The following is a 15,256-nucleotide window of genomic DNA, read 5'->3' on the forward strand; positions in this document are numbered from 1 at the left end:
GGTTTTTGAAGATGGAGTTTGCATTCCTGTTTCTCATTCTTATTATTTGGAGGAGACTTTAAAACTGTGAAACCCATACTGCACATTTTCAGCGTTACCAATACCAGACTCCTTATACCTCTCTAAACACACCAGCCTTTTTCTGTCTCTGTGCCTTCATAGAATTCCTTTTTGCTTACAAGGCGCAGTCCAACCTGTTTTTACCTGATAAGGCTCTTATCTTTCAAAAATCCAGTTCCTCTCCATCCTAACTTATCTGCTGCTTCTAAACCTTTGTTTTACAGCAGATCTTCTTCATTAGGAACTGCCATATAGCAGTTTATTGTGGAGCTTTCCAGAGGCACTGGAAAGTATGTGTTAGAGTAATCGTAATCTGCTTAAAGTGGTGGTAATAGTAAGTGCTTGATAAATATCTGTTGAATGAACTCTAAAGATGCATATGAAACACTCACCCAGAAATTAGGAAAACAGACTCTGGCCCTTTGTGGAGATGAAAGGACCAGCAGAGACCAAAAGCCTGGGGGGGTGGGGCTGGCAGCATGCCACAGACCTGAGGTGCATAAATATACACATTCAGAACAATTATGATTTTGCAAGTAGTCTGTTGTATTAGGGGTATAAAGCAGACTATAACAGATGTTTAGACTGAAAATTTTTCTCATATTTTATCTCATCTAAGATTATAAAACTCATTATTTCATATGCCATTAAGAAAAAACTCTATTGATTATGATAGAGTGCTTATCCTCTAGAACTTTTTTTACTCATTGAAAGAGTTCTATGAGACTTACGTTGACAGATTTTTTTTTTTTTTTTTTTTTTTTTGAGATGAAGTCTGTCTCTGTTGCCCAGACTGGAGTGCAATGGCACGATCTCGGCTCACTGCAGCCTTAGACTCACTGCAGCCTCTGCCTCCCGGGTTCCTTTAATTCTCCTGCCTCAGCCTCCCAAGTTAGCTGGGATTACGGGCACACACCACCATGCCCAGCTAATTTTTGTATTTTTAGTAGAGATGGGGTCTCACCATGTTGGCCAGGTTGATTGTGAACTCCTGACCTCAGGCAGTCTGCCCACCTTGGCCTCCCAAAGTGCTAGGATTATAGGCATGAGCCACCACACCTGGCCTGATGGATATTTTTAACTATATATCACTCTTGTGCATATATAAATAAAATACAGTGGAAATAATTGGCTAAAATATTTCTAGAATTTCATCTATTCGGATTCAGACTCTTTAAAATCACTTTTCAATTTAGAGCCACCGATGTTTATACTTTCTTTCTCTGCCATCCAGAGTGTTTGGTGATGACGCATTTCTTAAAAGAGTGTTCTGCTATGATCTTTGGGAATTTTCTGCCAAGTTATTCTGCATGTTTTTTTACAATGGTGTTTTCTTGACCTTACTAGAGTGCGTTCAATAAATGACAACCATGTCACAGTTCTGCCTGACCAATAGGGATTTTAAGATGCTACCAACTATAAGATGTATTTCCATTTAAGTGATGTTAAAATGTCCAAAAAAAAATGTATTTTAGAATTGAAAAATACTGTAGCTCAATAATTAATGTGATTCTGGCCTCAGAAACTTTCTCTTTGTTCCTGTTATTTAAAGGCTGCTGCTTTGTAAAAATGTATTTATAACCAAACTTTTCTTCTAAACTGTCATTTTTGTGAAAATTTTTAAGGTTTTCTTTTCTACTTTGAAGTTTTCTTGTCTTCACATTTTTTTGCTTAAAGTTAGCAGAGGCACTTTTATTTCTATCAACTTTTAAAAGAAGCCTGATGAAAAAATAGACCTTCTACATCTCAAATGATTTAATGAAGTGTCCACTGATATGTAGAGAGAAATATTTGTTGGTTAATCTAACAGAGTTAAAGCTTATTGCACAAACAGATGTCATCCTAGTGGAAGATATTTAGTAAATTGCTAAGGAACTTTTTCTCTCCTTTGCTCCTTCTTGATCAGCATTATTTAATCAATAAACATATTACTTCATACTTCTTTTTGTATTCTGGCCTTCACGAGAAGCCCTAGATCAAGCTAGTCATTTGTACCATCTCTACTTCTACATCAGTCCTGCTCAGTGTTTCAGGATCTATCCTTACTTTTGCCTGTTCCTAATCAGATACCTCCTTATTTTCATTAACATCTATTTCAGATTTTCACTATCTTCCCAAATTCCTTAATACCTCTCCTGCCCCCTAAACTTTAATCAATAATTTTGCTTTCAGTTTCACTGAGAAAAATTGAACCTGTCATGGAAAAAAATTCCTTGTATTTTTCTTCTTCCATTTATAAACTGGTTTCTTTCCCCCTGCCTCACTAGGAAAGGTATCCACCTTCCTCTGAGACTAATCCCCTCACCAGGGCTTTGGCTACTAGTTCCTGGGTCCTCAAAGCTTTTTCTGGATCTTTCCCTTCAACATGTACACAAGCTCAAATATCTTCTGTCCTTTAAGAAAAAATTCATATCTCCATTCTCTTCTAGCTGCCGTTTTATAGCCCTCCTTTTCTTAGCAAAAAAACTAATGGAAAATCTAGTCTACCTACACCACTTTTTTTGACACCAAGTCCCTGAAATTGCACGTGATAAGGATACCAGCAACCTTCATATTGGCAAATCCAGTTTTTTGTTTTTCCTGGACCTCTTAGTAACATCCAGTGCTAGTGACCTCCATTTGGAAAGTCCCTTCTTCAGCCTCCATAAAACTGCTTTCTCCTGGTTTTCTTGTTATCTTTTTCTCTTTCTTCTTAGACTCCCTCTAAGAATTCTGTTCCTCTCTTCAACCCAGAAATGTCATTGATCCTCAACTTTTCCTCAGTCCAGAGCTCCCCTCACTTTATGCACTCACCCTGAGTAAATTCTCAGAGCTGCGTCTCCAACCCAGATCTTTCTGCTGACCTCCAGGTTTTTGTGTTCACATTTCATTCAGTCATCACCACTTAGATATTCCACAGGTACCTCCTCAAACAACACATTCAGAAAATAACTTTATCTGTCCTGTGGCCACCCCCTGTAAAACAAAAACAAAAAGTCTGTTTTAGGATTAGCAACACAAGTCTCCCAGTACTTAAGCCAGAAATCCAAGATTCCTCCCTGTCACTTTCCCCTCCTGCTGTTCTATGGATTCTTCCTCCTGGGCTAATCAGTGCCCTCCTCTTTGTTATTACTGTCACCTACTTGGTTTAGATTCTCATCACTTCTTGCATGGATTATTATCATAACCTCCTAATCGATTTCTAGGTCTTCAGTCTGGTTCCTATCTATCCTCCACTCAGGTGCTACAGTGATCTTTCTGTAACAAATTTCATCGTGTTACTCTTACTCTCTAGCCTAAAAGTCTTTGTTTTTCTCATAGCTTTCAGAATAAAGTTCAGACTCCTTAGTTTAGCATACAAAGGCCAACTGTGATTGGCTTTTGCTGCTGCTGCTGCTCTGTTTTCCTGCCCTCTTGCTTGTCTCTATACGCCCGCCAGTGAAACTGGCTGGAACTACTTGTACTTCGGCATTCACTGTGCAGTGTTCTGCCTCTCTGCCTTCACATATGTGTTTCCCTCTACCTGGAGTATTCTTCCCTTCCTTTTTGTCTAAGTAGCTCTCATTGATCCTTCAAAATTATGTACCTACATCGCTATATTTCAGGAAACTTTTCCTGACTCCTCAGTCTGATTCAGATGCTCCCTCTCAAAACAGACAAAGGACATGAAGAAAGGCTTCACAAGTGAACAATGACAAAATGTCTAATAGGTAAATGAGAAGATATTCAGACTTACCAGCAATCAAGGAAATGAAGATTAAAACAATGTACTTCCATTTTTTTCATCAATCAAATTACCAAAAATTTAAAGAGAGGAATCAGTCCAAGAAAACATGGAGAAACAGGCCCTCTTCTAGATTGGCCCTATGTATCTAATGACTTTTTTTGAAAAAGTATATGTACACACACACACACATCTTTTGACTCAACATTTTACTGTGTGGAATATATTATAAGCAAATAACTGGAGAGCTATGTAAAATATATGTAAAAGAATGTTTATCACTGCTTATTTGAAAACAAATAGTAAATAACCTAAATGTTCAGCAATAACAAATGGCTAAATTTATTTATATGATAGAATGTTATTCATTAAAATGATCTATGTCTATTTTGACCTGGAAGTACATTTGTGAGATATTGTCAAAGTAAGTTATAGTATGGTCCAAATTTTGTAAAAAATACATACATTTATAAATTTTTGTAAGAGAAAGTTAAAGTATATACATAAGAATATCAACAGTGTTTATTTCTGCTTGTGAATATTGTCCAGCTTTTCTGAAAAGAACATTTATTAATTGGGGGAGCAAAATGGGAGAAACTTGGCCTCACTCCCAATAGCTGCTGTGCTTGCTTGCTTCTGTCACTGCCCTCATTAAACATTGAGCACTCCGAAGACATCACTATATGTCATTTGGCATCATTCTCCCAGGGTCAGGCACAGAGTAGGAAATGTTTGATAAGTGAATTAGAGCAATAACAGCAATAATATTTATTGTGCATTTACTGAGTCTTAGGTACTGTTGTAAGCATCTGACATATGTTAACTTAATCTTCATGAGATGGGTATTATTATTCTCTCCATTTTGCCGTTGAAACAGACTGACAAGGTTAACCACCTTATATTAGGCCACACTGGCAGGATTGGGCTTCAAAACCATGGAGTCTAGCTTTCTCTTAGACGCAGGACTGCATGGTGCTTCTGAGTTAGGTTGGATCTCTGATTGAAAATAGTGGATTAGATTCCATGTCTAAGATTCCATCTAGTTAACTGGGCATCAATTGAATTATGGTCTGAATAAAAAGGCAGAATTTGACACCCATGGGTCTGAAACAAATAGCAGGGAAAGTAATCTTTGATTCTTTGGCATTTTTTTTTTAACTCAAATGATTTTAGACTGTAAATTTCTCATTGATAGTTGGTGCTACCCCTTGAGGTTTGGTTTTCTGCTGTTGATGTCCTTTCAAAACTTACTCAAAGACCTAAATTTGTGATTCGTTCTTTTAAGTCTTGCCCCATCCCCTTTTTCTTTCTCAGCAAGATGACTCGTGAAAAGTTCATCAGATTTTTATTTATTTACTTATTTTTATTTTTATTTTTTTCTGAGATGGAGTCTCGCTCTGTCACCCAGGCTGGAGTGCAGTGGCGTGATCTCGGCTCACTGCAACCTCTGCCTCCCGGGTTCAAGACATTCTCCTGCCTCAGCCTCCCGAGTAGCTGGGACTACAGGCCATGTCATCTCCCACATTGTCTCCTTGCTTTCTCTGCTCCACCCACTTTGGTCACTTTGCCATTCTTTTAGTGAATCACGCATGCTCCACTCTAGGGCCTTTGTACTTGCGGTTATTCTACCCTGGAGGATTTACCTCATAATACCTCCTTGGCCTCCTTCCTCTAGTCTTTCAGGTCTCTGCTTTTCAGATGTCAGTGAGGTCTTCTCTGACAACCCTTCATAAAACAGCACCCTCCCAGCATTTCTAAACCCTTGCCCTGCATCATTTTTCTCCCCAACACATGCCACCATATGATAAGTTTATATGTTTAACTTGTATGTTGGGTTTTTTCCCCTTGTTTTATTTCCTGCTCTATCCCTAGTGTATACAAAGAACCTGGTACACACAGTAGGTAGTCAGTATTTGTTGACGGAATAAATACATTGACAGAACCTTCTTGGAAAGCAACTACAGTATATTTTAAAAGCTGTTCTTTAAAAAGAATGATTAAGTAAATTCTGTCCACTTGATGCAGAGAGAGAGATATCCACATGGAGCAGGGTCTGGGAGATGGGATCAAGATCAGTAATGAAACTTGTGTTTTCTTTCAGTAAGCAAAAAGAAGATGATGGGAGAATAATTTCTAGGAGTAGAGGAAGTTTGAGACTCAAGAACAGGTACTAGGTGTTGGTAGTCTTTGAGAAGACTAGGTTGATGGAAGCAAAAGGTTGGTGCAGGGACATAGTAGAAAATATGATTATAGATGGATTGGAACAGGTGTTGAGGGACTTAAAAGTGAGTCAAAAGAGGTAGACTTGCTGTGATCCATGAGGAAATCAGAAGTGTGAATTTTTAAGCTGTGAGGGATGAAAATGCCGTGTAAATCTAAGCTTCTTAATATCATATAAGGTGGCAAGGAGCATGCAATAAGAAATTCATCTCAGAGGCAGATGTGACAAGGCAGAGTTGAGGTAATATTACTCTAGGCAATAAGGAGTATAAGGTGTGATGAAACAAAGGCATGAGTTGAATATCAGCTGTAAGGGATATTGCAGATAATAAAGCGTGGTGGTTAACTGCAAATGGGATGCAAAGAAAGAGGAAATCAAAAGTTCCAGCATTAAAAAAATTTCCTTTTAATTTTTTTTTTTATTACAGGTTTCTCTGTCATTCACAGAAAAATGAATCATTTAAACCTTTGGAGGACTCAGTTATCACAATACTTCTCTACTACCAACTAAGATTTATGATAGTAAATTTATGAGAGCAAATTTCCATGTTATAGAACTGTTGAAGAACTAAAAGAGGATATTCTTTCATCAAAATAATTCTGCAGTATCATAATATTACTAAATAAAATTAAAAAGCACAATTATTAAATTATTAAATTTGCCACACATGTGCAGCAGCTACTGTATCCTGATAGTGACCAAACCTCAAATATAAATGGTTTCCCTTCATGGGAAAAGCCATTATATTTGGAAGAAACCACTGAACATTGTTATTAAATATATTTTCAGCTAACTGTCATTTAGGAGAATTTTCATGAAACAAGTTCTAGAAAGTTCCAAGTCCCACCAGTAAGTGGATTTGATATTATGGCAGCAACTTACAGACTTGTGGTTAGTACTGTGAACCACTACAGCAGCGTGGTGATAGACCGGCGTTTTGAACAAGCTATACATTATTGCACTGGAACCTGCCACACCTTCACACATGGAATTGACTGCATTGTGGTACACCATAGTGTTTGTGCAGACCTCTTGCACATCCCTGTGTCTCAGTTCAAAGATGCAGATCTGAACTCTATGTTTCTACCCCATGAAAATGGGCTTTCTTCGGCTGAAGGAGACTATCCCCAACAGGCCTTCACAGGCATACCCAGGGTCAAGAGAGGATCTACATTTCAGAATACCTACAACTTAAAGGATATTGCAGGAGAAGCAATCAGTTTTGCCAGTGGGAAAATAAAAGAATTTTCCTTTGAAAAACTCAAAAACTCTAACCATGCAGCTTACAGAAAGGGAAGGAAAGTTAAGTCTGACTCATTTAATAGGAGGTCAGTTGATTTGGACTTGCTTTGTGGCCATTATAACAACGATGGGAACGCCCCATCCTTTGGTTTACTGCGGAGTTCCTCAGTTGAGGAAAAACCTTTGTCTCATAGAAACTCACTGGATACGAACCTGACTTCCATGTTTCTTCAAAACTTTTCTGAAGAAGACTTGGTTACTCAGATTTTGGAAAAACATAAAATAGATAATTTTTCTTCTGGGACAGACATAAAGATGTGCTTGGACATCTTATTGAAATGCTCCGAGGATTTAAAAAAATGCACAGACATCATAAAACAATGCATAAAGAAAAAATCAGGGAGTAGCATCAGTGAAGGAAGTGGTAATGATACAATTTCTAGCTCTGAAACTGTCTATATGAATGTAATGACCAGGTTAGCATCCTATCTGAAAAAGTTACCATTTGAATTCATGCAGTCTGGGAATAATGAGGCTCTAGATTTAACAGAACTGATCAGTAATATGCCTAGCTTACAACTGACTCCCTTCTCCCCAGTGTTTGGCACTGAACAACCCCCTAAATATGAAGATGTTGTCCAGCTCTCAGCTTCTGACTCTGGACGATTTCAAACTATTGAATTGCAAAATGACAAGCCTAATTCTAGGAAGATGGACACTGTACAATCCATTCCAAACAACTCCACAAATTCCTTATATAACTTAGAGGTAAATGATCCTAGAACTCTAAAAGCTGTCCAGGTCCAATCACAGTCATTAACCATGAATCCTTTAGAAAATGTTTCTTCTGACGACTTAATGGAAACTCTTTATATTGAAGAAGAGTCAGATGGAAAGAAAGCATTAGATAAAGGACAAAAGACAGAGAATGGACCTAGTCATGAGTTATTAAAGGTAAATGAACATAGAGCAGAATTTCCAGAACATGCTACTCATCTTAAAAAATGCCCCACCCCAATGCAAAATGAAATTGGTAAGATATTTGAGAAATCATTTGTTAATCTACCTAAGGAAGACTGTAAATCAAAAGTTTCTAAATTTGAAGAGGGAGACCAGAGAGATTTTACAAATTCCAGTAGCCAGGAAGAGATAGATAAATTGTTAATGGATTTGGAATCTTTTTCACAGAAGATGGAGACCTCTCTAAGAGAGCCACTTGCGAAGGGTAAAAACTCTAATTTTTTAAATAGTCACAGTCAGTTGACCGGTCAGACCCTTGTAGATCTTGAGCCTAAATCTAAAGTCTCTTCACCCATAGAAAAAGTCTCACCTTCCTGTCTAACAAGGATTATTGAAACCAATGGACACAAAATAGAGGAAGAGGATCGAGCCCTCTTACTGCGAATCCTGGAAAGCATTGAAGACTTTGCTCAAGAACTAGTTGAATGCAAATCAAGCAGAGGGAGCCTATCACAAGAAAAGGAAATGATGCAAATTCTACAGGAAACCTTGACAACTTCCTCCCAGGCCAATTTATCAGTCTGTAGAAGTCCTGTTGGTGATAAAGCCAAAGATACTACTTCAGCAGTTTTGATTCAGCAGACTCCAGAGGTGATCAAGGTAAGACCCAACAATTTTGAGTCCTAGGAACTCTTTAAAAAATGTTTAGTGTTTGAAAATTTTATAAAGAAAAACTTTTTTGTTAGCCATTTTTTGTTCTACTAAAGCTCTGCCCTACACTAGGAATGATCTCACTCAGCTCAGAGTCAGTAAAAAGCAAAGATTATACAAGATGATAGAGGAAAAAAAAAAAGCAAAGACTTTAGACTCAGACTGGTTCCTACTGCCCTCCCCATACCCTTCATCTTCTTCCCAGCTCTGTGACCAAAGAAAAATTACTTACCTTTAATATCCTCATCTTTATGGTGGAAATAATAAGGATCAAAATAACTTGTGTGAAACATAAGCAAGGTTCCTTACACAAAGTAGGCATTTAATATTAGTCGTCACCCTCCCCAGCCAACCAAGAGACCAGTTGTTACTGCATGCCTGTGTAGACCTGTGTAAGGTTAGTGTAGAGTACAAAAGGAGAGAAGACATGATTCTTTAAGAGCTTAAAATCCACTTGTAGAGACAAAACTGACAATGTCTGAAACAGTTCATGAGCATGTGAACACCATTCTGAAAGTATTGTCATAACAGTAGGCCTTCAAAGAAGATAAAGACTAAAGGGTAAGATTTGATTCTCCAGGCAACTGAGAATAAATATCAATCTAGAATCACGGAAGTATTTTCAAAAGTTTTTAATCCATCCCCCTACTGAAAGCACTGCTTTTGAATACTCCCAGAAAGGCAGTTGTCTTCCCATTTTATTTACATACGTGTGTCGTAGCACAACAAGATTATTCCTTGTTCGTTTTATAAGTCCAACATGGGTTAGCAAGAGGCTCTGCTCTACTTCATTCAAGGACCCAGTCTGATGGAGGCTCCATGTTCTTACTGCTGCCCATTGACCCATCTAGGATATGTGGCTTTTGAGTTCACTGAAGGAGGGGAACAAAGGGGTGATGCTTTTAACTGCCTTGTCCCAAACTTGGACACACTTCATTTCTGTTCACAGTCCAGTGATTCCCAACCTAAAATCTAAGAAACATAGAAAAGCACATGGAATATTTGTTAAGCACTGCCCCTACCACATGAATGAGCTATATGTATCAACATGTATGAATTCAGACATAAAGCCAAATCGACAAAAGCAAGTTGTAAAATAAGGATATGAATCATTTTGAGATACATACATTTTTACAAAAAGTATGAAGAAATACATGGATACACAAAATCCAATGTTAATGGTTAATCCTGGAGGAAGGGAAATGCAACTGAGGAAGGGCGTACAGGGGGCCTGAATAGTATTAGTCATATTTTACTTCATAATCTGGGTAGTAGATCTGTAAGTATTTTGTCATGTTATTCTTTGTGCTTTTTTATATTCTTAAATATTACGTAGTAATTTTTTAAAAAACTAATTGGATATTTGAGATGCCATTTATGTGGCCAAGTTAAAATACAAGTTACATATTAGGCTTCTCATTACAACTGTCATTTGAGCAGGGGAACAAATGCATATTGTCATCAGATGAATCTTTCTTTCCCTGGTACATGTTGAGCATCCAAAATCCAAAGTGCTCCAAAATTTGAAACTTTTTGGGCACCAACATGATGCCACAAGTGGAAAATTCTGCACCTGACCTTGTGACAGGTCACAGTCAAAACGCTATCAAAACCTTGTTTCACGTACAAAATTCTTTAAAATACTGTGTAAAATTACCTTCAAGCTATGTGTATATATGAAACAAATAAATTTCGTGTTTAGACTTGGGCCCCATCCCCAAGGTATCCCATTATGTATATGCAGATATTCCAAAATCCAAAAAAATTCTAAATCTAAAACACTTCTAGTCATGAGCATTTTGAATAAGGGATACTCAGTCTGTATGTTTTGTGGCTGCTATTCTTCTGTGGACTTTTTTAGTCACTAGCAACACTAAAGTTTAAAACAATACATACTTTTAATAAGGTTACTAAGTGATTATTTGGGTCTAAATATCACAGATGTTCCCTGAGCATTTCTGTGAAATTACTTTGTGTGAATCTCCTCATTTGTTGGTTCACAGGTGGTAGTATCTTTAGTTTGGGGTCAACACTAGGGGAGAAACTTGGAATTAATCACAAAAGTAAGAAAAATCCCTTCACATGGTTTTTTTTCCCACATGACACATTGCAGTACACAGGCAATACTGATGTGCTTAATAGTTTATTATAAAGGAAAGAAAATACCTACATAGCAACTTCAAAATGATAATAATGTCATAAGAGCTACCAGTTATTGTGAACTAAGGCATACTAAGACATTTAAAGGTATTATCTCACTATTTTCCCTCACAATAACCTGTCTGCCCATTGAAGAAACATCTGCTTTCTCTGATGACCTATTCCAATATCTTAAAACCATTATAACCAGAAACTCTCACTGTGATACGGTGTTTTGAATTTTACTCAACCCTCTTCCCCCATTATCTTCTGTGACAAAAAGGAGACAAATTCTCTAAAAAGAGATGGACTGCATAAAGTAGAAAATGTCTGAGCATCACCTGTCCTGTGTTCCTGGCTAACACCTCATGAGTGGGTTCCCCGTGACCCCCAATCTAGGTACAGCTACCTTAAAATGCCACACTGGGCTCTAAATGTGCTTCCCACTTTTTTGACAAGTAATGGACTGAAATCAGAATCTTATTAAAAGATTGTCTCCTGCCATTCTTTTAAATAAGTTTCAATATCACAGAATATAATAAAATTTGATGAGATTTCTTCTTGATAAAAGTTGGAAAAGTACTTAATGAAAAGCTAATTCAAAGAGACAGGTAATATAAAATGTTTAATTCAGGAAGATGCTTAATGCAAGAAGACAAACCATTCTTCCTTGACTCAGTTGCCTTCCTACTTGTCTTTTTTTAATCTTTCTTTTCTTATGAAAAGTTTAAGTGAGGAATTGGCAAACATTTCTATGAAGAGCAAGATAGTAAATATTTTAGGCTTTATGGGTCAGAGTCTCTGTCATGTAGTCTTATTTGCCCTTTGCAAGACAAACCAACAAACAAACAACCCAGTGCTTTAAAAATGTAAACCATTCTTAGCTCCAAGACTTAGAAAAACAGGCAGTGGGCCAGATTTGGTCCATGGACTGAAGTTTGTCAACCCATCTTAAGCAAATAGAAAAGTATGGTGAATGATACAAAAGCACTGTTATCACCCACCATTTAGCTTTGTCAAATCTTAACATTTTACTGTTTGCTTCAAATCTTCTCCAAATACCTTTTGTCCCAGGGGAATTCAGCAAGAGACTATATAGATATATATGAATCCATTATTTCTCTCAAACCTAAGCTCTGTAATAGTTTTATCTTGATGATCAAGGGCAACAAAAATTGTTCTAACAGAACTTTCCTTCCTAGAGAATATAAAGGGAAATTGCAGACTGCTCTGCTTATATTATTATGAATTCCAAGTTAGTAGAATCCACACCAATAAGGGATAGAGAGTAAGAAGCCTACCTGTCCTTCAGGTGGTAACCTTTTCCCATCGGTTTTCTGGAGTTTAAAGTCAGAATTTAAGCAGGCAGTCTGCCTGACAACCTAATTCACATCTGATCTTCTCTTTTTCCATTCAGCCTCCAAAAATGTTATCTCAAGCTCTCAAATGTATCCGAGGTAAAAATGAAATAGTGAAATAAGAATATGGAAGGAGATGTGTGAATCTCTCTTAAGTTTCCACATCTGGGCTACTAGCCTCTGTTGGCCTTTATTTAGCATTAAATAGCTATTTGTTGAATGAATAAATGAGTAAGTGGATGAATAACCAAGTGAGGGGATGTTCACTTTCCTGCTTTGTCTCCTCAAATGGAAACCGCTCCCTTGCCTGAGGGCCATCCCTTTCCCTGCTTTTTGCTTCTCAAGGATGGGTACAAGAGGACCTGACATCAGGGTGCCCTTCTCAGACTTCAGGGTAGTGCCTCAGCAAGACTCAAGTATCTTACCTAGACCTCTAAGTCTTTTAATTCCTCTAGCCTTTAACACCTAAAAAACGACAGTACCCTAGGAAGGGTCTGGTCACCTTTCCTGGCAAGAGGGAAAGACATCATGTGAGTGTAGATTGTTTTACTTTATTGTGGGGGCAGAAATCCCTCGATAATATGCTGTAGCCATTTTGAGGAGAGGGTGCTTTCTCGATCACCATTGTTCCCACAGGCTTTCTTACAGTACGCTATATACAAGCTCTTTGTTTAAATTTTGAAAATTTTGTAACAATTTACTTTCTCTTTAAGGAATACCTATATATTCATTGTCCTTTTGCCCATTCTTAGAAGTTGCCATCTTCCTCCTCATGGATTTGGGTTGGAAAAGGATATTTCTGGCCGTTTAATTTTAGTACAATTGTTTGTTTATTTGTTTTTGGATGCCCGAGAGAAATCTTTGAAGGTGAGCATAATTTCTGTTGTTACTAGAACTCACTTTGCTTTCTTCTAACCCTGAGCAGGAATTTGTATTTGAGATTTCATTCCAGAGGAAATAAAGAACCTTCCTATGTTAATGATCTAACATTTAGGTTTCCTCATTGTTTAGATAGTATAGTGTATAGTTTTATATGCATATTTGAATGCAGAATAATTAGGAAAATAAATTTAACATTTTAGCAAAGCACATTTTAGGAACTTTGTTAAACGTTCCTTGTGGAGCCTTAATAAACACTTTTCTCTCTTTACTTTCTAGGTTTATATCCATGCCTTCATTAACATTAGCCAGTCATGTCACTGAGGGAAAATGTTTCTTCCCTGGCTTTGTAGGTGCTCATGGTGCCTGGATTCAGTGCTGGGAATGCTTAAGTAGAAATCAAGACACTTAGCAATACAATAGGAAACCATTCTCTCCTCCTCTCAATTGCCACCAAGCAGATTAATAAAAGTAAACACATCTGCCTGGTGGCAAATAGGAATTTGTGGAATGAGCCCAACCTGAATATCCCCCTCCACATTTGGTGGCTTCTGACGTCAGGTACCTTTGCATTAATACCTGCATTCTTTCTGATTAACATCAGGTATCTCAAATATGTCCCCACCTATGTTCACAAGAGCCTGGTAGATATATATGTACTGATGTAGAAGGGTCAAGATAAAGTTAAAAATGTAAATTGCAAGATGTACCATTATGATCCCTTTTTGTTATTAATATATTTTTATGCACACAAAGTTTGGGGTACATATGCTCAATATTATTCATGTTCCTCCAGAAGTAGAAAGTGAATCTCATATCCAGGTGTTCCTGATAAGTCTGCCCTCTCCCAGCCTCCACTCCACCCTTGGCAGGAGTGAAGAGGAGCTCCCAGAACCCAGCTTGCTCCATTAAGCCCACAGGCCTGTCCAACCCTCACAGCTTCACCACCACTCTCTGACTTAAGGTCATCAGGACTAATCTGTCTAATATGCCCTTCATCCTTGTTTACATTAGTCACCACCAGAAATCCAGGAATCCAGATCACCCCCCATCCCCCACCCCACTTTCCTCCTCACACTGCTCTTATATATTTCCTAAGTCCACTTCCAACCCTCCCAACTCCTGAAATCGTTTCACCATGTCCTCTTGCACTCTGAATTCATGATGATTTACCGGCAAAGTTTCCTATGTCATATCTCTTCTCTAAACATTTCCCTTCCTATTATAACTTAAACTCGTCTCTTCCTAAGGATACTGTAGCCAGTGAAATGGTGGCTCTATTCTTTCTCATTCCCACCCCCTATCCCACTGGGCCTGGAGGGGGCAGTAAGGGTTCTTGCATTTCATTGCTGCTCTAGACTATTCTCCTGGCTGCCTCCCTGAAACCAGCCCCGCCCCAACTTTGAACTAATACCATTAGACTCTGCTATCCACTACCTCTTCTGATTGTAGTCATCTACCAACCCAGGTCACTTATTTCTTGAAGGTTTTATCTCCTGGCTTTATGACACACTTTTCAATATTACTCTTGCCACTGTTCGAGTGTTTGATAGATAAGGTATCCAATACAGGAGCTTCTCAATTCCTTGATCTCCTCTAATGAGTCTGTCCTCTGCCCTTCTTCGTTCATTTTCTGGCCTTATGTTTATGTCAGTGGTTTTAAGAGTATGGTTCCCAACTAATACTGTTAGCATTACCTGGACACTTGATAGAAATGCATATTCTCCTACCCCAACCCAAACCTAGTAAATCAGAAACTCTGGGGGTAGGGCTCAACATTTTTTGGTTTTAACAAGCCCTCCGGGTGATTCTGATGCATGATTATGCTTGAGAACCACTGCCATAATTCGTCACTAAAATCATTCCCTTGAATATACTCTGAGGTTCCTTGTCATCCCCTCATTTCATGGTACCCACCTGGAACAGCTCCAACTCAGATTAAATTGTGTTCTCTGTCTACTTTGAGCTTTTATTCGTGCAGCT

At 38.0% G+C, this 15,256-nt stretch overlaps 1 protein-coding gene across 8 annotated transcripts in view, besides 1 other annotated feature; it reads left to right on the top strand.

The window, feature by feature from the left end:
* Positions 1–15,256, top strand: part of PPP2R3A (protein phosphatase 2 regulatory subunit B''alpha) — a 182,167-nt gene that overhangs the window by 28,920 nt on the left and 137,991 nt on the right. For 7 of the 8 annotated variants that reach the window (XR_001740196.3, NM_002718.5, XM_017006787.3 and 4 more), the window contains exon 2: positions 6,412–8,846. The exons of the other annotated variant lie outside the window; for it this stretch is intronic. Coding sequence is in view for 6 of the 7 variants with exons in the window: in NM_002718.5 (NP_002709.2) it covers positions 6,852–8,846 (1,995 nt within the window). In the remaining variant the exon portion in view is untranslated. The remainder of the gene's footprint in view (positions 1–6,411; positions 8,847–15,256) is intronic. 8 annotated transcript variants of the gene reach the window in all.
* Positions 12,560–12,854: a silencer, noted in NCBI's record as "tiled region #9179; K562 Repressive non-DNase unmatched - State 24:Quies". NCBI's record gives its function as "represses a minimal TATA promoter and a strong SV40 promoter by Sharpr-MPRA in K562 cells {active_cell/tissue: K562}" and the evidence as "EXISTENCE:reporter gene assay evidence [ECO:0000049][PMID:27701403]".

The sequence above is a fragment of the Homo sapiens genome, chromosome 3, assembly GCF_000001405.40.
Source record: "Homo sapiens chromosome 3, GRCh38.p14 Primary Assembly".
In the NCBI taxonomy this organism is placed as follows: Eukaryota; Metazoa; Chordata; class Mammalia; order Primates; family Hominidae; genus Homo; species Homo sapiens.